The 26617-nt window shown below is 34.7% G+C and overlaps 1 protein-coding gene across 23 annotated transcripts in view; it reads left to right on the top strand.

Annotated features, from left to right (window-relative positions):
• Positions 1-26617, top strand: part of ZBBX (zinc finger B-box domain containing) — a 229485-nt gene that overhangs the window by 68830 nt on the left and 134038 nt on the right. For 19 of the 23 annotated variants that reach the window (XR_924174.3, XR_924173.2, XM_024453753.2 and 16 more), the window contains 7 exons: positions 5072-5230; positions 10941-11115; positions 16820-16940; positions 21460-21569; positions 21952-22052; positions 23228-23307; positions 24941-25083. Coding sequence is in view for 20 of the 23 variants with exons in the window: in XM_024453753.2 (XP_024309521.1) it covers positions 5072-5230; positions 10941-11115; positions 16820-16940; positions 21460-21569; positions 21952-22052; positions 23228-23307; positions 24941-25083 (889 nt within the window). In the remaining 3 variants the exon portion in view is untranslated. Of the gene's footprint in view, positions 1-5071; positions 5231-7368; positions 7493-10940; positions 11116-16819; positions 16941-21459; positions 21570-21951; positions 22053-22760; positions 22969-23227; positions 23308-24940; positions 25084-26617 lie in introns of those variants that run through there. The other 4 variants (XR_924177.3, XM_011513156.2, XM_011513155.2 and 1 more) reach the window with 4 other exon arrangements.

The following is a 26617-nucleotide window of genomic DNA, read 5'->3' as shown; positions in this document are numbered from 1 at the left end:
CACATCAAAGAAATCAGAACAGATTGTACTTTGAAATATTCTTGATATGAGAAGGAAGTGTTTTCTCAAAAGCCAGGCCAAAAAAAGATTTATAGAATATATATAACAATTTTAAAATTCCCATTAGTCCATAACTTGATCATCCTGAAATGATTTTGTAAATAAAGCCTTCCAAGTTCCAATCATATCGAACAATCACTGCAACCAATAAGTTTATGTTACTTGAGTTCTGCTATAACACAATTTTTTCTCTCTGTGTGTATATGTGTGTATCTCTCTCTCTACCTCTATATCACTTTGTCTAACAAACTCAAATAAAATAACAGAACTCTTCTGCAGAGTTTAGAGTTTTCAGTTTTTAATTCAAGGCTGTGGTTACAATAAATCTCTTCTAAAATTTTGTGACTGAAAAATCAATGCAAGTTAACACTAGGAAAGGAGACATTCTCATTCCTTTCCCCCTCAAACTTGCAAAGTAATACAGGTCTAAACTATGTGTGAACTTTTTTTTTTTTGATCTGGAACTTCTGGATCACTTAAGGAGATATGGCTATGTCAACATGATTATTAATATTTATTGCTGGATAGCCAGAGTTTTGGATGATGATGGTAGTTAGAATTTTGAAGCACTGACTATACCATAAAGTATATCATTTTTCTAACTAAACTAAAACTTTTATTCTTGGGCTTTAACTTCTACAAGGTGCCATCCATTCCAAAATGCTATAAAATATCAACCCTCTTTACTTTGATTAATGATACATTGTCAGAGTGATGAATTCTTCTAGAGTGTAATTTGAAAGATAATATCATTCTAGGCAGAAAAAAAGTTTAGGTGAGAATTTAGAACAGTTACCAGATGAAATCCTACCATTATACAGTGTAGTGAAGGATGTGGGGGAATCTGGAAATGCTGGCAGTAAATCACATCTTTTGGCTCTAGTTTAGTTTCTATCCTAGAGTGAGATATATGATTTACTATGTGCCTTGAAGGCTGTTTTGGTTTGATTTTAAAACATTTTTAGCATGTAGAGCAGTTGCACAGGTAATTTTATACATTTTCAGTCTCCTCCTGCTCCTATTGTTACCTATTAATACTTCACATTTAAATTTTTATACTTAGAAAATGGAAATAAAACTATCTTTAGGTTGAGTTTTAACATTTGAAAATATTTTATTAATATATGGTACAGTGTTATGATACTTAATATGTATAGTTATCTATTTTAAATATTTTCTAAAAATAACCTTCATATTCTTATTCATTGTTGTTACTCAAAATGATTATTGTTATATTATTAAGTGAAAGGCAGTGTGTTTTCTTTTGTAAATCTAGATATGCTCTTTTAAGAAAAGACAAAGATTATACGATATGCCCATTTAAGAAAAGACAAAGGTTATAGGATAAAAACTGTTAACAGTAGTTACTCTGGGGAGTACTATTTTGCTATAAACCAGATTTGTACCAAATACGGGCAGTTATTTAGATTGACTACTGATCTGAGTGTGACAATGTCCTAGATAAACTTTTTTTTTCTGAGATGGAGTCTCACTCTGTCACCCAGGATGGAGTGCAGTGGCACAATCTCGGCTCACTGCAACCTCTGCCACCCCAGTTCAAGCGACTCTCCTGCCTCATCCTCCCGAATAGCTGAGACTACAGGCATGCAACACCAGGTTCAGCTAATTTTTTGTATTTTTAGTAGGGATAGGGGTTCACAATTTTAGCCAGGTTGGTCTTGAACTCCTAACCTCAAGTGATCCTCCCACCTCGGCCTCACAAAGTGTTCGAATTACAGGCATGAGCCACCCTGCCCAGCCTAAATAAGCTTTTATCAGCTCATGTTAATATAATTAAACTATAGTTATATTGATTCTTTGGCAATAAATGAACTTCGAATTTTAATCTATGTTATAATCCTCATTCTTTTAGATACCACTCACCTTTTCCCTGCAGTTCAAAAACTGTAAGTTAGCCGAAGTCACACAGCTTGTTATGTGGTGACCAAGTCTGGGTTGAAATTAAGTCTGTTGAGTTCCAAACCCATACTCATAGATATAGAATAAAACGTACTCTGTGCTAGTAGGACCTATTTTCAGCAGAGAAAGTATGCTTGAAAATAGGAGGAACCTCCATTCCTTAAATTTTTTATATGGTATGACTATGATTTATTTCTATATACTTGGTCAAATATAAAAATAAACAGGCAAAAATAAGTTAAAAGCAAAGAAACAAACAAAACTAAACCCCTTAATCCTTGCATATGCAATTGAATACAGAATTAAAGTTTTGTGAGTTTTTAAAGCAAAGAACAATGTTCAAATCTGTTAGAGACAAAATTTAATATTTTCAGTTTCGGGAAATCAAAGGTAAAACACATTTTCTGTATCACAAAGACTAACATAAATCTAGTAGGGAAAAAGGTTAATTAAGCTAGAATAGATAATTTGACTCTATTTCAAGTCACGACATTTTGTAGCCATTTGACTTTGGCCTAAGCTTTCTGAACTTGAAATTCCTTGTCTATGTAATGGGAATCATAATATCTGCTCTCTTTCTTTGTATGATTGTTCTAAGATTAAGAAAAGTAAGGTATACATACACAGCCTTACAATGGAGAAAAGTAATGTTTAAGAGTATGATGTTCTAGAAAAGAACATTTCCATTTATTTGCATTGTATTGATTTCATTTATGTACTAAAGTAGCAGAACTTTAAGATAGTCAAATATGGAATTCTATTTTATCAGTTACCTATGATGTTTATCTTATTTTTTAGCATAAAAAATGTGGGTTTTTCACTATTTCTGATTCTCTTAATATGCTACCTAAAAATGTTATAACAATTATTATAACATTGATAGCAGGATTCATTTTAGGACAGAAATAATCTTTGTTTTGTGTTACTTAAATAAACATATATTTGAATGATAATTTTATATAAAATTAATCCTATAGCTTTTGATATTTTAAAAAAAATAAAATGAAAACCAAACATGGAACTAACTGCCTCTGAAATCTACAGACCTTTATTCTAGGACATTTTAAATGAGGCTTAGTTTGGATTATTCTGTTTTAAAAATGTTGGTAAAACTACAGATGTTTCTGAAAGAGTGAAGCATTACCATTGACTTGAATTTCTTTTAAAAATAAAAGGACTATATAGGCCTATATAGGTTTTCTGAGAATCATTGGGAAAATTTGGAGCAGATTCCACAGATTTGCATACAGACAGCAATATATATGCATAGGTCACGTTCATCATTTTTCATAGGTATTTTATTAATTCAGTATGAAATAACACTAGTTAATTTGATGTTCACTGATATATTCCAGAATCAGACTGCAATGAATCTTAATAGATTTACAAATGTCATAACTGAAAAAGTTTCAATGTAATGTTAGCTATCTAAATTGGCAACTAGATGAAAATTTAAAAATAGGAGCATTTTCATGGCAGAGTACAAAATAATTTTATCTGATCCCTGCTAAATTTTTCTTGTTTGGAGGATATTTGCTAAGAAATAAGAGCTACTTCCTGTCTTCCTCATGCCAAGTTCTCACAGAGCATCTGACGATTCTGAATCTTACCCCTGGAGTTTAATTCAAACTCAGATAGGATCCTAAATCCTGCAGTCCCTAGGCAGACTCTGGTAGTTTCTGATAGAAAACCCTTCAGAGAATGGGGCCTTCCCCAAATTTGCCAGTTCTTTGTCAGTCACTCTGACAGCATGTGAAAAGTTTTTCTTTAAATCCCTTTTCTAAATTACTTATTTTAATTCTGTAGCTCTTTTCCTTCCCTGACACCTTATTTTTACCGTATGCTATTTTTCCAGAAACTGTAGTAGCCATAAAATCATTAAAATATATATGTTTTTTCCTTTTGTGAGCTTATGTGATATGAGGAAATGTGAAATCAATATAGTTAGGGCTGGTAGAGATCTACGCAGGATATTAAGAGGGTAAAGAGGGTAAATACCGTGTACAGTTGGGGTAGTGCAGTGTGCAAGGAAGGGTTCCTAGACTTGTTGGAGTAATGGCGTGAATGCAGAGGAGAAGCAAAAGCCTGCCAGGTAAAGATGATGGTAGAGGAGAGAAAGCCTCCCTAGTAAGTGAGCCTCATGAGCAAGGAACAAAATGAGAAATGACTTGGAGTTTATTAAGGAACTACAGAGAGAAGTGCTTCCTGATGTACCCCTTTGGATAGTGAAGGCTTTCTAAAGACGTTTTATCACCATGGAGTAGTCATTACTGCTTATTCAGTCTCCTACTAGATTAGCTATATTTAGTTCTTTATTTATGATGTGCACAAAATATCGCATCTATCTATTTGGGGGTGTGCATAGTGGAAAGTTTATGAGTCATTAGACTTATACACACCTGAGGTCACTTCCTAACTCTGGCACCCACTCAGCACTGTGACCAAGGGCAAGTTGTTTAAACTCTCCGAGCTTTAGTTTCTTTTCTTTCTTTTTTCTTTTTTCGAGATGGAGTGTTGCTCTGTCGCCAAGGCTGGAGTGCAGTGGCTTGATCTCAGCTTGCTGCAACCTCCGCCTCCTGGGTTCAAGCAATCCTCCTGTCTCAGCCTCCCGAGTAGCGGAGACTACAGGCACACACCACCATGCCTGGCTAATTACTGTGTTTTTAGTAGAGATGTGGTTTCACCATGTTGGCCAGGCTGTCCTGGAACTCCTGACCTCCAAATGATCTGCCAGCCTCAGCCTCCCAAGGTGCTGAGATTACAGGAGCGAGCCACCACGCCCGGCCTAAGCTTTAGTTTTCTTAATTCCTAAAACAGATAAAAATATTTATGTTTTAGAATTGCCTTGATGATTAAGTGATATATTGTTTTTAAGATGGTTTGAATTGTATGAGGCCAAACTAGTTCCCTCAGTAGATGGCAGCTGTCACTATTATACTTGTTGATACAAATGCCAATTTGTCTTTTTAAATATTAAATTGAATTTATTTAATTCTGGGAGTCATAGAATAACACAAATATGAGTTAATGTATATAAATTATTTAGGTTAACATATGAGGCGCTTTAATTATATTGTTACTTTTTTAATAGGCAAAATCTCAAATATTATTCAATGTATTGGATGTTGCCCATCAGTTTATAAAGGATGTTAATCCAGATGAACCCAAAGAGGAGAATAATTCTACAAAGGAAACCAGTAAAATTCAACATAAACCCAAATCTGTACTTCTCCAGAGGAGCAGCTCTGAGGTAAACTGAGGAAAATATAGTAGACATTTTCTGACATATGTAACTATGGCAGGTGCCATTCATGTACTTAACTTGAGCTATAGAATTTCACCAATAATTTCATCACATTTTTATTTCATATGGATTTGTTCTTCATTAACCAAATACATCTTGACTATAAAAATATTTTCAAGAAGCCTGCTTTGATTCCACTGAACACTACTCTTTTTGGTGAATGATCTTTTGACCATATGTCTTTCTGGACATTTTCATCCATGTCAGGAATTGGATGAGTATTTGGGGAAAACATTTTTTTAAAAACCACAATGCAATATAACAATTTTATATTAGTCAGGACTTCATTCAGAGAAGCTAAAAATACAAAACCTTGCCCAGAGTTTTAAGTGACAGGCAATTGCACAGTTATATAAAACCAGATTTATACCAAATTCTGGCAGTTATTTAGATTGACTGCTGATCTGACAACATGCTAGATAAGCTTTTATCAACTCATGTCTATATATTTATAATAGACATATTGATTCTTTAGCAAGAAATGAACTTCAAATTTTGATCTATGTTATAATCCTCATTCTTTTAGATGCCAGTCACCTTTTCCCTGCAGTTCAAAAACTGTAACTTAGCTGAAGTCATTCTGCTTGTTATATTTTGACCAAGTCTGGGTTGAAGTTAAATCTGTTGCGTTCCAAACCCATGCTCATAGACATAAAAGAAAATGTGTTCTATGCTAGTAGGACCTATTTTCAGCAGAGGGAGTGTGCTTGAATTTTTCAGGAGTGTCAGCATATTTGTGTGGATTTCGCTTTCTAATAGACCTGTCAAGGATGTTTTGTGAAGAATCACTGCCTCCTAATTATAATAATAATGTATTGAAGACCAGACACTGCCCTAAATATTTTACACATTATCTCCTTTTGTCTTTTCTTAATTATTCCTCTTTTTCAAATGAGAGAATAGTGGCAGGGAATAGTTTTTATAAATTGCCAAAGGTAGAATTGATAATGGAACTTAGATTTCAGCTCAGACCTTCTGACTCCAAATTTCCTGCATTTAACTATTTTGCAGAGACTGTGGTTTTAAAAGTTTCTTCTTCGTGCCTCCCTTTTCATCTAATTAATCCTATCAAAAATAAATCAGCAACTAACTTTTATTGAACACCTTATGCTAGGCATTGTGCTTAATGCTTTACTTGCCTTATCCAATAATCTCAATAACCATGTAAGGTTTGTGCTTTTATTACCCCAATTTAACAGATGAGAAAGATGAGAGATTCAGTAACTAGCCTTACTAGAAAGTGATAGAGTAGGCTCCTCTGTGTTATTTATTAATCTTTACACTAGATGTTTCTTCTGGTCTTCATAGGTAACTATGCATGCTGTATACATTGTCTGCCTCATTGTCTTAACTTAAAAACCATTAATTCAATGATTTCATCCAGGAGTGTATATTAAAATCAACTAGAGAAACATTAAAGAAATACATATGATTGAGTTCAGCATCTCCGTGGGTGGGGTTCAGACGTGTGTGTGTGTGTGTTTGTGTGTGTGTGTGTGTGTTTAACTCCTCAGTGATTCTGGTGAGTGTTCTTGTTGGGAGTCACTGCTATATACGACAGAGTACACAATGAAGAGATAACCGCTTCATAGGCTTAGTGTTCCTCTGTGCCAAAGAGCAGTGCTCCTCCAACTGTAATAAGCATCATAAGAATTGGAGATTGTTAAAAACTTGCATTCCTGGGTCTGCCACCAAATTTGGATTTTTAAAAATATTTACATCTGGGTTAGGGCTCAAGAGTCTTATTTTTAATTTAATGGCTAGAAGAGCCAAATGGTACCAATGCCTGATGCTTCTCTTATGGCCTTTTTAATGGATCAAAGCCAATGGCACATCCTTGGAAAGAGGTACAGTTCACGAAAGAGCTTACATCTTATAAGCCGAAACCTGGGTTTGAAATAGTGATGCTGTTTTTCTTATAGCATTGTAATATTGGGCAAGTTACTTAGCTTTTTTGCTCTTCTGTTTTCTCCTTTGGAAAGTGGGGATATTAAAACACATCATCTTACAGGGATATCATGTGCTTACAGGGTAATGAATGTACAGCATTGAATTTCTATGTGCGTCTTCAAATTTCTTTTAGCATTGGGCAAGGTCATATTGGACTCTGAGTGGACGTGATATATGACAGTTTTGAGCTGAAACGTTTAAGAGCTAATGTACAACCCTCCAGCTTTTTCTACCCTGCCACAGCTATGTGGAAGCCAGGTATTCCAATGGCATAACTCCAATATGAAAATGTCTGACATCTCTGATTCATTGCTTGGAAGGAAGCTTCCCTGGAGGGCTGCTGAAATTGCTGCATGTTGAAATCATTTTGTATTAAGCCACTGAGTTTTCAATGCTTGTTCATTAGTGTAGCATGTATACATACATACACTGACATATTGCTTACTGGATACCAATAAGTACCTTCTCACAAATACTCCTAAGACTCTATCTTTAAACTAAATTTATCCTGTCTTTTCCAAAACCTATAAATGTTATTGTTGGAGGCGCCCTACCTAGCTTTCCAAGCCAACAAAGGCAGTTATTTTCTGTAGTATTTTCACTTCCTCCTCTGCACATTCAGTTGGTTACCTTTATTAGCCTTCTCAGGCTGCCATAACAAAATACCTCCAACTGAGCGGTTTAAACAAGAGAAATTTATTTTCTACTGTTCTGTAGTCTAGAAGTCCCAGATAAAGGTGCTGGCAGTATTGGTTCCTGGTGAGGCTTTACTTCCTGGCTTTTAGATGGCTGCCTTCTTGCTGTGTTCTTATGTGGCCTTTCTTCTGTATGCACATGCATACAGAAGGGGAGTGGGGGAGAGAGAGAGAGAGAGAGAAAGAAAGAGAGGAGAGAGAAGAGATATATGATGCCTCTTCTTCTTCTTCTTCTTCTTCTTCTTCTTCTTCTTCTCCTCCTCCTCCTCCTCCTCCTCCTCCTCTTCCTCTTCTACTTCTGCTTCTGCTTCTCCTCCTCCTTCTTCTTCTTCTTCTTTCTTCTTCTCCTTTTCTTCTTTTCTTCTTCTTCATGTGAGACAGAGTCTTGCTCTGTTGCACAGACTAGAATGCAGTGGTGTGAACTCAGCTCACTGCAACCTCCTCCCATGCTCAAACATTCCTTCCACCACAGCCTCCTGTGTAACTGGGACCACAAGTGCATACCACCACGTCCAACTATCTCCCTCTTCTTAACAGGATACCAATCCTATTAGATTAAGGCCTCAACTTCATAATCTCATTTAACCTCAATTACCTCCTTATAGGCCCTATCTCAAAATGTAGTCACATTGGGGGTTAGGGCTTCAACATATGAATTTGTGCACGGTGATGCAATTCAGTCCACAATAGTTATCATGTCCCATATAGGCTCCCAGCTAAAAACTCTTGAATGTTTGGTCATTTATTCTATCCTTATTGCTCTTTTAGATACTGAAATTTCTTCTTTAAAAAAAGGTTTATAAATGGAAAGTGCATTTCATTCTCTTCTAGGAGTCAGGCAACCCTTCTGGTTTTGTATGTATTTTTTACACAAACGTTAATATGTTTTCTCTACAAACATGTTTGCTCTGCATTTTTTTTCACTTAACTTTGTAGTTTTTATATTCACATAAGTACATCCTACAACCTTCTCATTCTATGTAGTGGCTGTAAAATACTCCATTTATTGGATGTGAAAAGACTTTTAAAAATCTATCTTCCACTGATCAGCATTTATGCTATTTCAGTCTTTTGCCAGTATATGCTAAAATATAAAGTATAATTTTGAATAATGTGGTTTTGCACAAATGTAAGTATATCAGTATGATAAAATCCTGAAACTCCTAGATAAAAAATTATGCATTTGTAATGTTGATCAATGTGGGCAAATGTCTGTAACATTTTAATTGGTTTCCTTGCAGCCAAACACACTATTTTATAATTTCCCTCTCTTTGCCACACTGGTATATGGGACTTTACAATGGTTTTACATGTCCAATGGGTTTAAGCTCCTCTGTGCAGCAGGCAGAGCCCTTGATATTCTTCCCCTGCTTCCTTTCTACCCTTTATATTTTCTCATTCTTTACTTTTTGCTACATCAATGCAAACTGCTTATAGTTCCATGCCACCAATGCTGTTTGACTCCCATGTCCTAGCATACGTATCATTTCCTTTCTCTGGAATGCTGCCTTTGGCACTTTTTGCTTATGGAATTCTTGTTTTATCTTTCAAAATCCAATTCAGACATCATTTCCCCTGAGTTTTACCTGCTTCTTGCACCTTTTTCTGTTGTGGACTTATTAACCTGTGTTTCTGTGGCCAACGGTTAGCATGGTGTCTAGTGTCTGACAGGTCCTCAGATACTTTTTGCTCGTATTTAAAATTTCTTATATACGTCTTTAACAATATACCCTGAATTGTACTCTAACAAGCTGCCTGTTTATTTTTCAATTGCGGGCTGAACATAGAGATTTATACTCTCATGTCTTAAAAGATACACATGGATATTTAGCAATTTGACCAGTGTAGGTAATCCACATTTGATAATTCAGCCATTGGTGTGGGTTTTACTTTGCTTGGGTTTCCTAATGTGGCTGTTCTCTCTGATTCACTGCATAGCTTCCAAATACTTCCTTCATTTTCTTGTGTGCTTGGACTGGATTTATATTTTGTACTGAATTCATCTCTCCACAACCATCATTAATCTGAGGAGCATGCATTGTATTACATGCATCGATGAACTTCTTCATTCATTCCACTGACTTTTAATGAACACCTACTTTGTGCCAGGCACAGGTCTTGGCACTAAGAAAAAAGACAAAATCCACAACTTCATTATATACTAATGGGGAAGGACAGGCAATAAATAAACATATAGAATAAAGTCACATGGGAGTAAGTAATGGGAGGAAGAATAAAACAGTTAAGGAATTATTAAATGGGGGAAAGGGGGCCTATTAGTTTTAGAATTGGTAGTGAGGAACTCTCTGAGTAGGTGATATTTGAGCATTTCATTGAGTCAACAAAATGAGGGAATGGCTATGTAAAGATATGGAGAAGGCTCATTCCAGGCATTGGGTATAGCTAATACAAGGCCCTGAAGAGGCAATGTGCTTGATGGGTTCTCAGAACTGCAAGAATGTGAGACTAGCTGGTACAGGGTGAATGAAAGGAGAATGGAAGGAGGTAAAGTAAAAGGCAAGGAAATACAAGGTTGTGTAGGGCGGTGTAGGTCCTGGTAGGAACTTGGGGTTTCATAGACAGTCAACAGAGAGTTTTGAGCAGGGGAATGTCTGATCAGATTTACATTAAAAAAAAACCCTGTTTTTTTGATATGAGAAGGTTGCGGGGAGTAGGAGATTGGAGGCGTAGGGAGAATGGATACAAGGCAATTGCACCTTTACAGAGAGAACACTGGTGAACAGCATAATGATAAGTCATTAGTTCTGTAGGCTGTCATCTTCATGATTTCTGAAGAGACCATTTATAATTGCCAATAGAGTTTTAAATAACAGAGTAAAGCATATAAATAAGCACAACTTAAAAATATTCTAAGTTTAAAAAGTCTGATTTGTGATGACTAATAATTAGTTCTACCTGTATTTTAAAACACAGAATTTTTTTATTAAAACAATTTTTGTGGGTAAATACAGAAAATTTAATAAAGCATGCCTATGTATCCTTTTAATTAGGTAGAAATTACAACGATGAAAAGAGCACAACGTACAAAACCAAGAAAGAGTCTGTTGTGTGAAGGGTCATTCGATGAAGAAGCTTCTGCACAGTCCTTTCAGGAAGTGTTAAGTCAATGGAGAACCGGAAATCATGATGACAACAAGAAACAGAATTTACATGCAGCAGTAAAAGGTATGGCTTTTTTTTTTTTTTTTTTTTTGAGACAGAGTCTCACTTTGTTGCCCAGGCTGGAGTGCAGCGGCGTGATCTTGGCTTACTGCAACCTCCACCTTCCGGGTTCAAGTAATTCTCCTGCCTCAGCCTTCTGAGTAGCTGGGATTACAAGTGCGTGCCACCATGCCTGGCTAATTTTTGTATTTTTAGTAGAGACGGGGTTTTGCCATGTTGGGCAGGCTGGTCTCAAACTCCTGGCCTCCTGACCTGCCTGCCTCCCCTCCTAAAGTGCTGGGATTACAGACATGAGCCACTGTGCCCAGCCCGTATGGTTTTTTATACCATGAATGTTTTAAAATGAAGCTGACTTTAGTTTATTTACCTCCATTCTCTGTGAATATAAATGTGATATTCAAAATCTATAAACACTGGGACAGCAGTTTGCTATAACTCCTCAAAGGAGTATGCACTGTGTGATCATTGGTGAGTGGTTTAATATTTATAGGCCCTGAATTGGGCACTAGGGGGATTTGCATTTGTTTTCTGTGTAAATTCAGACTGTCAAATGAATGGATAATTGGATTCTTTCAGTTCTTCTTCTAGTAGAAATTTTTGCCAGGACAACTATTGCTTTTTTGAGCAGTAATTGTAACACATAAAATGGGAGAGTCTGTGAGATAAAGAGGAATTTTTTTTTTTTAGAATATTTGACTTAAAAATACAATTTTAAGGACCACTATGAACTTCAGGAGGAGAATTGATTTGCGTTCTCATTGTTTTTGTTTCTTTTTGAACTACTTTTCGTTCTTTTTTTTTTTTTTATAATTTCGCTCCTACATTCTAGACATTGATGATCCAGATGACTGAACAGTATGTTGAAGTTTCCCAGTATGTCTTGAGGAAAACCATAAGTTTTAAAAGTATTCAATTTATTAATTTTATTACTCAGAATCTTGTAGTGTCTTCCAATTGCTTTTCATTTAATATAAAATGTTAGATAATAAATTTCAATCATGTATCTTACTTGCCAATTTTACTATTTTTATTTCATTTTTTTTCCATTGGAGAAACTCTTCTGACTATTACACTTTTATTACACAGTGTAATTTCTAATCTCAAAGTATCAACAATGTCTTCTAATTATAATTAAACTTTTAAATAAATTTTCTTCAAGTATTTTTCTACATTTCTTTATCACACATCAATTTCATTGACATTTTCAAGACATTATTTGGATGCTGTCTTCTTAGTAGTTTATATCTCAGTATACACCTCATTTCTCATTGGCTGTGTTATTTTATGTGCTTTATGCTTGCTACTTCATGCAATTTTTTTTTTGACTTGTCAACTCTGAAAAGTACTAATTATTCTATAGAAATTCTTCTTTGTCTGCTTTGGAAGCCATAGTATTTAAAATAATACTGTACCAAGTTGAAAAGTCACCAGATCAGAAGTATAACTCTTTTAAAATTTGTTCTTCATAATGGAAATAACTGTATGATAAAATAATGAATGCTTATTTTGAAAGACTTGGTTATAACAAAAAGTTACCAAGAAGAAAATGAAAATACCTCAGTCTCATCATATAGAGAAAATCCATGTTAACATTTTGGTACATGTTTTTCAATAACCATAGTTATGTACACACACATACTCACACAAAAAAATGAGGTAACACTAAATACTATTAGTTAACTTGCATTTTCACTGAGATTCTGTAATGGGCAACTGGCCATCTAAATAGAGATACACACAATCATTTGTAACTCTTGTAGAGTATTCTATATGGCATGATTTAATCAGACATTTATCGATGGATATTTTATTTCTAATTCCCAGTATTTAAAAGATATTATGATGGGCATCTTAGCTATTTGTGCACTTACATATTTACCTTAAAATAAATTTCTAAATATAGAAATGTTGCCTCAGTGGTGACTTGTTTTATAAAATTTTAATGAATATTGTCAAACTGGCCTCCAAAAAGATTACTGTGTTGGTTGTACTCTCACTGGTAGAGTGTGACATGACTATTTTCCTGCATTTTCTGGTTCTTTAACTTTAGCCAGTTTGGTTGACAATAAATTATTATCATTATAACTGGCTTTTTACTGTTATTTGTGAAGTAGACAATATTGGCTATTTTTGTCATTACCTTTTATTTTTATTATTTGCTAATATTTGGGCACAAGTAATGTTTTACATATTAGAGGTATACAACATTACTCTCAATAATAATTCTATCAGCGAATATTGAGTACACGCTATGTGGTGGGGTCAAATGATGTGCAAAAGCAGTAGCAACTTCGTCTGGAACTTACAGCCTAAGTGGAGGTCAAAAAAATCAAATGATTAGTATAATTTGGATGAAGAAGTGCAATGCCCACGTCCATACCAGGTGTTATGGTTTGGCTGTGTCCCCATCAAAATCTCATCTTGAATTGTAGCTCCCATAATTTCCACGTGTTGTGGGAGGGCCCCGGCGAGAGGTAATTGAATCATGGGAGTGGGTCTTTCCTGTGCTGTTCTCGTGATAGTGAATACGTCTCACAAGATATGATGGTTTTATAAATGGGAGTTCCCTGCACAAGCTCTCTCTTGCCCACCACCATGTAAGAAGTCTCTTTGCTCTTCCTTTGTCTTCTGTCATGATTATGAGGCCTCCCCAGCCATGTGGAACTATGAATCAATTAAACCTCTTTCCTTTATAAATGACCCAGTCTCGGGTATGTCTTCATTAGCAGCGTGAGAACAGATTAATATGCCAAGTGAAAATAGCAGGCACTGCCTCTTTTCAACTGTATCACACGAGTTTGGAAAGCAAGTAGAAGAAGACATTTAACAGTGTTAGATTAAGAAATAAAAAACAAATCAGATTAGATGAGATTGTTTTTATCAATGTAGATGTACTCGCACAGGATTTGGATCTTAGTGTTTTGTCTCAAGCACTTCAGGAATGGCAGTAACAATTGGGCGGGTTGGTTAATTGAAAACTGGACTTGATTTGAAAGTTTATGAGATTGAGATGCTGTAATTTCCCTGCCATTTTGTAGAAGAAGAAGTTGGAAGGCTTTGGGAGATAGGAATTTTGGAACCGATAATGTGCAACCTATTTAGCTGTCATTACCAAGGCATTAAGCACCGTAATACTTAAAAAGGTTTGTTGTGGCCTTCCTCTATAGGCTGAAGATGACTGGAGGGGAATGCTTCAATGGGACCAAGCATCCTGATTTCAAAGAATGGAAATGATAGAGGCCAGGTGTTGGCACACAATCTTCAAAATTATGGTGAAAAAGTTACCGAAGTAAGGGTCAAGGAGGAGTAGTGATCAGTGTTTCAATTCACAGAGATTTCTGACGATAATTGGTGTGCCTAGGAATGAAAAAGTCATGCAGCCTACTGTTTTACCTATAGTAGAAGAAAATTTCTGTTTAATGGGCAGAGAGCCGGCTTCAGCCACCATATTGGGGATTCAGTTTTTTATGAAGTCCTCAGACCTAAGCCAGGTCACAGCTCTGGAATCCCTTAATTAAGAAAGAGACTGGGTCTGCTGGCTTATGTCTGTAACTTCAGCACTTTAGGAGGCCAGGAGGTTAAGACCAACCTGGGCAATGTAGTGAGACCTCATCTCTACACAAAATTTAAAGAAAAGTCATACATGATAATGTGAACCTATAGTCCTAGCTACGTGGGAGGCTGAGGGTCAACAATTACCTGAGCTCAGAATTTCAAAGTTACAGTGAGCTATGATCATGCCACTGCACTCCACCCTGGGTGACAATGTGAGAGCCTATCACAAAGAAAAAAAAAAGAATTTTGTTTGCTTTCCATTATCACTAACATTTAATATTGTGAGATTTAAAAATTTTTGCTTAATAGAGATGATTTTGTGTATCTCTTATTACAAATGACATGAAACATCTTTTCACATATTTCTTGACCATTCAGCTTAATAGTATGCTTTAAATTTCTAGTTTTCTAGTTATTTCTGTTATTGATTTTTAACTTGGTTTTGTTTTAGTATTCTAAAATCTCATTTCCTTCTATGTGAAAGGCAGGTACTTTCAATGGCCTAGAAAGTTATGTGTGATCTGAAGTCCATTATCTCAGACATCTCATCTCCTGTTACTCTCCTGCAGGCATGGCTGGTTTCGTTTCAGCCACTCTTGACTTCTACCCGTTCTTCACATACTTTAGGCATACTTTCCCATCAGGACTTTTGCACTATCTATTAAGGAAAACACCCATGATCCCATCAATTTGAGGATGGAGAATCTTATGCACATTCTTATACAATGTAGCCAGTGAACCATGAAAGAAGGGAGCAAATAAAAACATAAGTTACATACCTTATTTGGCATTTCCCAGGGAGCCATGCCTCATAAATCCGTAAGTTTGTTTACGACAAGCAATTCTAAACAAGAGCTAGCATTTTAAATACACCATATAGCTAAAGAGTCTCCTCCCAGCAAATATTATTAATTCATTTGCCTGTAGGTCCAGTTATCAACATATTCACAAACAAATTAACCCAGGTCACCTCCCATCTTTATTTCTTGGGAATGTGCCATTGGTAAGGGAGAAAAGTGAATCACGGGCCAGCTGCTTTATCTTCTTCCTCTTCCATCACCCTTCTGTGTTTAGAGTTTATATCTCAAGCACAGTGGCTCTTCTCTAACATCTAGACAGCAAAAACAAAAGAGTTCTTTCCCCCCCCCCCCTCTTTTAGCTCTCCTGTCAAGAAATCTTGTTTCAAAATGAAAAGGGGGACTCATAGTGGAGGCATTTCTTCTCTCTCATGACTTGCTCATGTCCTTAACTCTGCTCTTTCAGTTCAAGGGATTCTGATCAGTGTTTTCCCAAACTTTTTCCAATTGCTTTCTTCAACACTGCTCTACTCTTTGGGAAAAATAGAAGTGGGATTCCTTACTTTATTTTTACTTTAATTTGTTTCCATTGCTGGCCCGTAGCTGTTTCTGGCAGTTAATCATTGAAGTCTACAATATGAGGCTGGGACACCCTCTAGCCTTAGTTTATAAAAAAATGTTTTTCCCATCTTTACTATTTCCCTTGATTCTCCTACATTTTTTTTCCCCTGTGATGTTCAGTTTGGAGACAGGAACGATACGTGGGAGGGTGGAGAGACTAGTAATCATGGATTTACACTGCTTTCTTTCCTAGATATCTTCATCAGTTTTAAATATCTCTGAATAGTGATTTTAATTTAGTAGTGCTTCAGAAATATCTTAAACATCTGGAAGTAAATTACCATGTAGATATAAATTTGTGAAGAAAATTGTCTCCTCCAGATGTCATTATGAATTATTTATTTCCTGTTTCTCATAATGTGTAAATATTATTGTCAGTGGCTATAACACTTTATACATCTGTGTATTATACCTTTATGTATGTGTTTATACAATGTACAATGAATGTTTGTATTTATAATTTTTATTTAAAAGAATGAGTTGCTTTAACAAACCTTCTGAATCATAAGATCCCTTCATTTCAAGAGATTGTTGAAGAAAACTGTCTATCCAGTCCCTTAATAAATTACCAATATTTAATACTTTTGCATTATTTAAACCTTAACCTATTGATTGTATAAGTAAATATTAAAGCATATATGCCCCAAAAATGATGAGTTCTACATCTTAAGAGAAGATATAGTAATTTGTAAACTTGCTTATTTTAATTATGCACATTGTGTTTATTTTTACAGACTCATTGGAAGAATGCGAAGTACAGACTAATCTGAAAATTTGGAGAGAACCACTTAATATTGAACTTAAAGAAGACATTCTATCCTATATGGAAAAATTATGGCTTAAAAAACACAGGAGGTATTTTCTGAAATTATAATACTATTAGGAAATATGAAAGTTATTTATGTTTCTTTCTTGTATGACATGCCTTCCTATAGCAATTTTATATGTATATTTCATATTTGCATACATAATTTTAAAGCAAGATTAAATCCCTGTGAAGTTGCTGTTCCAATAAGAATTTTAATTCTATTTATGTATATGATGCATCATTAATTTACAGTTTTCCTTGAGAAATGGAAATGTGTATATAAGGAAAAGGCGCAAATGCAGAAATGAATTTAAGAAGAATAATAAAAATAATGTGATAAATGAAATATTACTTTGAGAAGACACCAGTTTTTTATATTAGCACTAACATTTGAGACTATAATTTTCAGAATCTAGTTTTAAATTAATTAAACATTTTTCTAATTTTATTAATAGTAATTAAATATACTTTATTCAAAGAGATATCACCAGATACAATCAGCTAGAAACTGTGGCAAAATATGGGTTATTTTTTCGTAGATCTGAAGTGAGGCCTGAGATTCTGTATTTCTGAATTTCTAATAGCTCCCAGGTGATAATGGTTGGATGAGGCTGGTCTCTGGTCTTTTTTTGAGGTGCAAGTTGTTGGAGGAGCTCTCTAGAATTTGCCTGAGAAGTGGTCATCACACCCTTGCTTCACCTTCAGTTACGCAAAACCATCTCCCGAGGTGGCCCATTCCATCTGTGGAAGAGATATTCATTGAACTGTAATCTGTTTCCAGCTAATTTCTAAACTTGGTTCTAATTCTACCTATTAAGCCCATACAGATAAAATCTAATTTTTCTTCTCCATGGTATCTCTTCAGATTTTTGAAATCAGCCCTCATGTTTCCCGTGAAGCCTCTGCTAGATAGGTTAATACCCGCACCACCACTCACCTTCAACTGTTTGTAATGTGCTAGATTTTTTTTCTTTTGGATTATTTTGAAAAGAAGATATACAGATGGGTTTCAAAATAGCACAAAGAATTCCCAAATAACATTCACTCAGCTTTCTCTAATGGTAACATCTTACATAAACATAGTGCATATCAAAACCAGGAAACTTACATAGGGACAATATTATTGAGAACTGTACATTTTACCTTAATTTTATCATCAGCATTTTCACTATTATCCTTACCCCATTCCAGGATCCAGTCCAGGATTACACATTGTATTTTTTGTCATATTTCCTTATCCATTACAGTTCTTCAGTCTTTCCCTGCCTTTCATGACCTTAACACTTTTGAAGAGTACTTGCCAGGTGTTTCATAGAATGTGCTCAATTTGGGCTTGTCTGATGTTTTTTCATAATTAGACTGAGGTTATACACTGTGAGGAAAAATGCCACAGAGAGTATGTGTCTTTCTCAGTGCGTGACATTCTGGGATCGTGATGTCAATATATCTTATTACAGATGATGTTAACCTTGATCACATAGTTAAGGTGGTGCTAAGTTTCTCCACTGTAAAATCACTACTTTCCCTTTATAATTGATAAATATTTTAGAGGAGACACATTGAGATGATACATCAACTCTGTTTTCCCTTAAACTTTCACCTCCTAATTTTAGAGTTTGTGAGTGAATTTTGCCTGCAGCAGTTAGTACTCTCCTGCTCTATTGCAGATATTCTATTTCCTTTGTTCCTTCTAAATTTATTAGTTGGAATTCCTCTTAAAAGAAGTGTTCCTTCACCCACTTTTATTATTTTTTCTTTATGTCAACTCATGAATATTTATTTTATTTTGGGGATTGATATCTAATATTATTGTTATTTATTTTGCAACTCAAATTATTTCTGCCTTGGCCATTGTGGACTCTGTCGGGTTGACTCTTCCATCCTTTTGATTTGTTGTCATCAATTTTTTTTTTTTTTTTTGGTTAGTTTGCTTTGAACATCTCTTTTTTTTCTGGAACTCAAGATGCATTTTCCCTGCCCAAGCCAAGGAATTGTTTTTCTAAAAAATACTGGTTCCCTTTATTGGAGAATGGTGCTCAGAAACAAAGATCTGGACTCTAGGTGTGATCATTACTATTCTGGTGCCACAATTCTAGGCCTTCTCAGAGGAAGAAACTGGGAAGTACACACACACACACGTGCGTGCACACACACACACACAAATCCACATACACACATATAAATTTTTTTCTGTATCTATCCATCTGGATATCTATTAAAGTAACATGCATTCACACCCAGGCATTCCGAATCCAAACCAGCATCACATGATTCATTTCCATTCTCCCTTTGCTTATTTGACAAATTTCTTTCACTTACAGTGAGAAACTTGGCTTTCATTATCTATAATATATTTATTAATTAGCCCTAAAATATATATGTATGTATACATACAGTAGTTTCAGAATCACAAATATCACTGAGAGAAACAAGGGACAATTAATTTCAAAATTACTGTTAATAATATCACTGAAAGAAACAAATTTTCCACCTAGAGTACAGTCTTTGTGTGTCATGCTTTTATCTGTAGCCTACGGTATCTAGGCCAAACCATGTTTTCCAACATTACTTTGGCCATAGTGCTCATTTATTTCTTACCTCCTTTAAGGTTGGTATGACTTTCATTGGGTTCAGCCCATATCCTCACTGATTTTTAAAATTTGAATAAACTTGTGGTGTACAGTTCTATGGGTTTTTAGCAATGCATAAAGTCATGTGTCTACCACAGTACCCCTGCCCCCACAAAAAACAGTCTTACAACCACATTCCCTTGAGCTTCCTCTTTCTTCTCTTCCCTTTCTTAGTCCGTAACAACTATTCATCTGTTGTCCACCCTTACAAATGTGCCTTTTTTTGGAGGTCATATAAATGAAATCATACAGTATCCGTCCTTTCATGTCCTTCATTTAGCAGAATGCATTTAAGATTCATCCATGTTCTTGTATGAATCAATATTTGTTCTGGCTGGTTTCCAGTTTTTGGCAATTATCACTAGGTCCTTTAAAAATATTTTCATAACAGGTTTTTCTTGAATATAGGTTTTTAATTCCCTGGGTAAATACCTGGGACTGTGATAGGTGGGCTATATGGTAAGTGCATGTTTATTTTTATAAGAAACTGCCAAACTCTTTTCTAAATTGACTGTACCATTTTGCATTTGCTCCAGCAAGGTACGAGAGTTCTGGTTGCTCCAAATCCCTGCCAACACTTGGTATTCAGTTTTTTTTTCTTTTGTTTGACATTTTAATAAGGCGTGTAGTTGTATCTCATTGTAGTAGCTTATATGGCAGAGGTTTAAGGTAATTCATTTATAACTAATGTCCAGGCTGTATATATTTTTTAAAGTATGATGCCCATAATAGCTCTTCAGGCTATTTTTTTTGGGGGGTACTGTGGTCCATATGACTTTATGCATTGGTAAAAACCCACAAAACTGTACACCACAAATTTATTCAAATTTTAAAAGTGAATGAGGATATGTGTAACAGTAGTGTGTATCTGTTAATTGCCTTTTTCTAATTAACAATTGGCATATAAATGTAATTCCAAAGTCACTTGTCAATTTTATCAAAATTTTAATGCCTTTGAAAGTTGCAGAAGAGGCATTACAAAGGAAGTACGTGGTTAAGAACATGGTTTTTGGGAGGCAGACTCCTTGAGTTCAAATTCCTCTTCTGCATTCACTACCTGAATGACTCAACAAGTCGGTACACCACTTTGTGTCTCAGTCTCATCCTCTGTAAAGTTAAGATCATACTAGTGCCTATTTAATATCTAATAAAATTTAATGTACCAAAATTAGTTAGAATGGAGCCTGGTATATTTTAGATTTTGTATCCATATTAACTACAAATATCACTGAGAAGGCTCTGGCTTTTACATGGGGACTTTATGAACTTGCATGGTATGGAAAGGCTGTGCAGCTACTCATATTCTTGGTTAAAAAGTGACCCTTCTCTCCAATAATTTGGTTATATACTATGAAACCAAATATACACTCTTGACCTCTGTGAATTCCTGGGCTTCACTGCCTTCCATATGAAATGGGCTGCAGCAGTCTTCATTGTTAATTAAGTAATAGATACCACAGCCTGAACACCTTACATTTTTATTGTAGGAGCCTATGTTACCACCCTGCTGGTAGGATGGAAATTTAGACAAATGCCCTCAGGTTCCCGTAGAACTCATCAACACAATGCCAAGACTGTGAACTAAAACTCACATTCATAAATTAGCTTTTTAAGTAGCATGGTGTTTTTAATGGACTCCATGTGGCTTTTGAGAGAACACTGACTTGTAGCATAACTTTGATTTTTAGCTTAAACAAAACTCAGTAGGATATGCAATTTAAAAATCTTCTGTGATGTCAAGTTGATTTACACAGTTTTTTTTTAGTACATTAAGATTCTGTTATACAATTGTACTTATCTTTGAATTAAAGGTACAGTTACGGTTTCATCATTAATTTTGTATACTCATTCATTTGATAAATAAATCAAGAGCTTGTCTGGGAAAGTTTCAGGTAATATATTTCAGTCTCTTAATTGCTTCTTTCTTATTTTGTAGAACTCCACAAGAGCAACTTTTTAAAATGCTACCAGATACGTTCCCACATCCACATGAAACCACTGGTGATGCACAGTGTTCTCAAAATGAAAACGATGAAGATAGTGATGGTTAGTTCATACTTGATTAGATATTTTTAAAATGTATTGTCTCAAGTTATATACACTAAGCATTAATCAGAATCTGCTTTTGGTTTTCTTTAATATATTATTCTCAGTTGTACCATGTAATCTTTTCTCTTTAGATGAAAATCATGTACACTCACTTCTTTCCCTTTCCCTAGATATACTTTGCCTTGATTTAGATAGTTTCATTTAAAAATTGAATGCTAATAAATGTGTATTTCACTTGAACTGGGAAAATTGACAGTATTTGTATTTTTGTGTAGATACACATGAGAACACTCTTCTTTTTTGGTGGCTATCTTATTTGAAGAAATTATAAAGTAAGATATATTCTTTGATGATATTATTTGTGAATCTTATTTCCTAGGTGAGGAGACCAAAGTACAACACACAGCTCTTTTATTGCCAGTAGAAACATTAAACATAGAGAGACCTGAACCATCTCTAAAGATAGTCGAACTGGATGATGTAAGTGCATAAGTGCATAATGACCATTCATGATTTTTAACAGGGAATTCATAATGTATACTTACATCTGCATATTATTTTCAATAAGATTTCTCAAATAACTAACATAGTTTAATAGGAAATTTACAAGTGTTTGGGTTTAAATATGCTTATAAGAATAAAACAATATTATTCTGAATGTAAACAGTAAATTTGTGAGCTAAACTGGTATTGTCAATTTTTTTGGATGAATATATTATGGGAGGTAAGAAGACATTTCACTATTTTAACTTATAGATATGTAGTTTGATATTTTATTAGTTTAGTTCTCTATGTTATCAAGTTTTTAAACAAATATCAGTCTCGTTACATGGTACCTATTAAAATATAAGTGTAAATTTAGTTTCTTGAATGTCATTTAATATTATTTTCCGTTTAAATGTAGAAATAGTGTGTAAGACTTAAGAAGTTCAGTCAAATAACTTGAACATAACTTGAACATATGTAGAAGACACCAATAGCATCAACTAGAGCCAGACCCTGTCAGAGCTAGAGCTCTGGACTGAAGGTTTAGGGTGTGATACACTCAGTGCATTTCTGACTTTCTAGTAATATAGTAGCTGAATGTGCCACTTGTCCTAGATATTTCTCTTACTGTGGTTGTTAAGAAAATGACTAGAATGGAGAACTTACCTCTTTTAAATACTGCTTTCTTCCTTTCTTCTTTAGGTTGAAAGCTTCTGCTATTTTTGTTATTTGTGTTTTTTGGCTAACAACATTTTTATTTCTCCTCTGGATAAATTTGAGAGACTGGACAAAAACACACACACTACATACATGTGGGCATGCCATTCATTACATTGTTGATACACAGCGTAAGTTTATGATGAGCCAGTCAGAGAACTGACAACTTCCTAGTCACTAATCTACTTGGCAGGTAGTAGCTACATACTTAAATATAAGTTATTATTGTTGGATTGGGGTATTATAATAGTGATAAAGTAATTGACATATCAACCAATGTCAGTTGAATTTGTTTAGTTCTCCTAGAACTTATGTGTTATAAAATATAATTAGAGCTCTCATAACATCATTTGTAGGAAAAATGTACTCCAAATATCACCCATAAGTAAGTTGGTTAATGTGTAATAAATTTTTATGAACTTACTAATATTATATAACATTAATTTAATAAGACTTATGAAGAGGAATTTGAAGAAGCAGAAAATATTGTGCCTTACAAAGTTAAATTAGCTGATGCAGACAGTCAACGAAGGTAAAACCTTTCTAATTAACTTTGTGTGCATATTGAGCCCCCTCCTGACACACACACAAAATCATCTGTCTTTTTAAATGTGAAATATGTGGTGTGAAAAAACATGTGACATTAATGTCAGAGTATATTTTACTTAACCCATGCTTAAATATGTATACAATATTGCTGATATTTAATAACATTCAGCAATTAGAAAACTGTCTATAGTGATAGGTTTGTACTCTTACCTAATATTTGGATTATTTAATACATTCTTCTGAACTTAGGGGTTGTTATCCTCTGAAATGGTTGATCAACTTTGATATGTTTCATATGAGCTTTCTTCTTCTCTCTAAAGATACTCTGGATTTTGTTCAGTTTTCTATGAACCCTAAATAAAAAGTTTTATAAATGATTAGGCTGAGAGACTAAAAGAGCTCCTGTACTATAGATTACTTCCTAGGTAGATTTTAACGTATAATAAAGTAAACAAATGAAGTATAATGGTTCACTTTGTAATTGCGTTGTAGAATTTTCTCATTTCCAAATGAAAAATAATATCTAACTGTATCTGTTAGTAATGTTAAAACAGTTACTTTCTGCTGTTGAAACTTCAGGATTTGTAAACAGTGGAGTGGAATTCCTGTCAAGTATCCCCTCTACCAATTCTTGATTCAGATCAGTTTAGGCCCCCGTCCACATTTTGCAATAGCTATGGGCCTGAGTGATTCCCCTGAACAGAAAAATCCCATGTTTAGACACACAGAACCAGCTCTCTAGCAGCAAATGTGCTTTTGGAAGTGGGGTTTTGGCGGGAGACAACTTTCTGTTCAGCAGATAAGAGGTTTATATGCACCACTCTATCTCTAAGGAAATGAATAGCATTTCTGTTCTCTAATCGGATTCTTTTATATATCTTATCACATGTCTTTGCTTTGACTCCTATGTAAGGTGTTAGAGAAGGCAGAGAAAGTTACTGATCATGATTTGGCAGTAGTTTTACAGCTTTGGTTTGGAGGTGCCCATAGAACTACATTAATTTTCTCTCTCTCCTGGAGATCACGAGTGACACAAGAGGGCCTTTTCGGTTGAATATAATCCAGAAGTTTTATAATGGTATTCTGTAGAGCTTATATAAATATCAGGTATTACTAAATATATTATTCAGTTCATAAAGAATGTTATTTAAATTGTAACTATGCATATAGATAGTAATCATTATTAAACTTTGAAACCTAAATATCACATACTGCTTTTAAACTCATATCTTGTTGATGAACAAATAATATGTTTATCTAGTAGTAAAGCCTTGATTTCATCAGATTTTAATGAGCTTGAAAGAGAACACTCCCTTTTTAGAAGAAACTGTAAGAAATCAAACTTATTTCAATATATTTTGGAAAACAAACTTTCAACTGAAATTTTGCAGTTAAATTAGATTTGGTCCAGTTACCTATTCATCTTAAATCCACAGTGTTATTAGTTACTTATAGTTGAGAATGTGTTCACATAAGGTTAAAATAAATATTAAATTAATGTAAATAACCCTATTAAAGTTTTACTATATTTGTTTTAATGACTTGGGACTTTTAAAATTTTCTTTTTAAAATCATTTTTTCAACTCTATTATTTTGTTTGTTCCTACATGTGAAAGTTGTGCTTTTCATGATTGTCAGAAGAATAGCTTTCCATATGAAAATGGCATCCATCAACATCATGTTTTCGATAAGGGAAAGAGAGACTTCTTAAATCTTTGTCTGAGAAACAGCTCTACTTATTATAAAGATAATTCAAAAGGTAACATTTTTCTTGTTGCTGGATATTATTAACAGTGCATGTTGATAATTTACTATTGCAGTCTATAAAAGCTTTGTTATGCTGTTCATTTTAAAACCAAAAAAACCTCAGTACTAAAATGAAAATTAGTTGAAAATATAATTTTCTAGTAAATATGCAATTTAGTCAATGGACAACAGTGTTTGTATGTGTAAGAAAAATCAGCCAATATAGGGCACTCTAAAAGTTATTATAGACTCAGCTAGCATTTAAAAGATTACATGGAAGGCCTTTCAGTGACAAAAGTCTGACTGGCACCCTCTTGCTCTCACTTGCACTAAATATTTTTCAAAAATATTCAAATCTGATATAAAGTTTCACATGAGAGATGAACCAAAATAAAACAAATCACTGGCCGGGCTCGGTGGCTCAAGCTTGTAATCCCAGCATTTTGGGAGGCGAGGTGGGTGGATCACCTGAAGTCAGGAGTTTGAGACCAGCCTGGCCAACATAGCAAAACCCTATCTCTACTAAAAATAAAAATAAAAAAAATTAGCCTGGCATGGTGGCAGGTGCCTATAATCCCAGCTACTCAGAAGGCTGAGGCAGGAGAATCGCTTGAGCCCAGGAGGCAGAGGTTGCGGTAAGCCGAGATCACACCGTTGCACTCCAGCCTAGGCGACAAGAGCAAAACTCTGTCTCAAAAAAACAAAACAAAACACATCATCTTGCTTATATATCTATGTTGCTATTACTAGTAGTTCCCTAGGTACCTGTAGATTAGAATGCTGTGTTCATATGTGTGGTTTCAATTTCCAGATTGTGAGATCATTTAAAGACAGTCACAGCAAAGTATCCTGGCCTAGGAGTCAGATTTTGTTTCCATTTGTGCCTTTAAATCACTGTCTGACCTTGAACATCTCACTTACTTGCTTAGACTTCATTTTCCTAAGCAAAAATGTAGGAACTAGATAATTTTCAAGCCTCCTTTTAACTATTAGATTTGATCTACCTAGAATTTTAAGAAAAATTAATAAATATATCGTATGTGAAGATTAGATTTTTGAGAGATATCGGAGGGCATATTTGAAATAAATAGTTGTAAAACTGATGATTACATTCTGATTGGGCAGCAGAAGATAGAAAGCAGTGGTAGATTTGTGTAAATCCTGCTGGTCTTGACATTTTCAAATACTAAACCACTAAATTATTATGGCCAAATATAAAGTACAGCCACATGGGAATTTAGGGACAGTATTCCAATCTTGTCCTGAAGATGAGTATAGTTTGATCAAGCTAGTTCCTGATGTTCCTGTTGCCTCTAAGAAAATGATGCACATAAATGCCCATGTAATTGTTACTTTAAAGACACATTTTTGAAATGTTTACTTTTTAGAGCAGTTTTAGGTTCACAGCAAAACTGAGCAGAAAGTACAGAGAGTTCCTATATACCCTTTGCTCTATACACATACATAGCCTCCCCCATTATCAGCTTCTGCAACCAGACTGGTACATTTACTACAATGGATGAATCTACTTTGATACATTATTGTAA

Source organism: Homo sapiens, chromosome 3, assembly GCF_000001405.40.
Source record: "Homo sapiens chromosome 3, GRCh38.p14 Primary Assembly".
Taxonomy (NCBI): Eukaryota; Metazoa; Chordata; class Mammalia; order Primates; family Hominidae; genus Homo; species Homo sapiens.
Note: the sequence above shows the minus strand (reverse complement) of the source record. Positions and strands in the feature narration are given on the sequence as shown.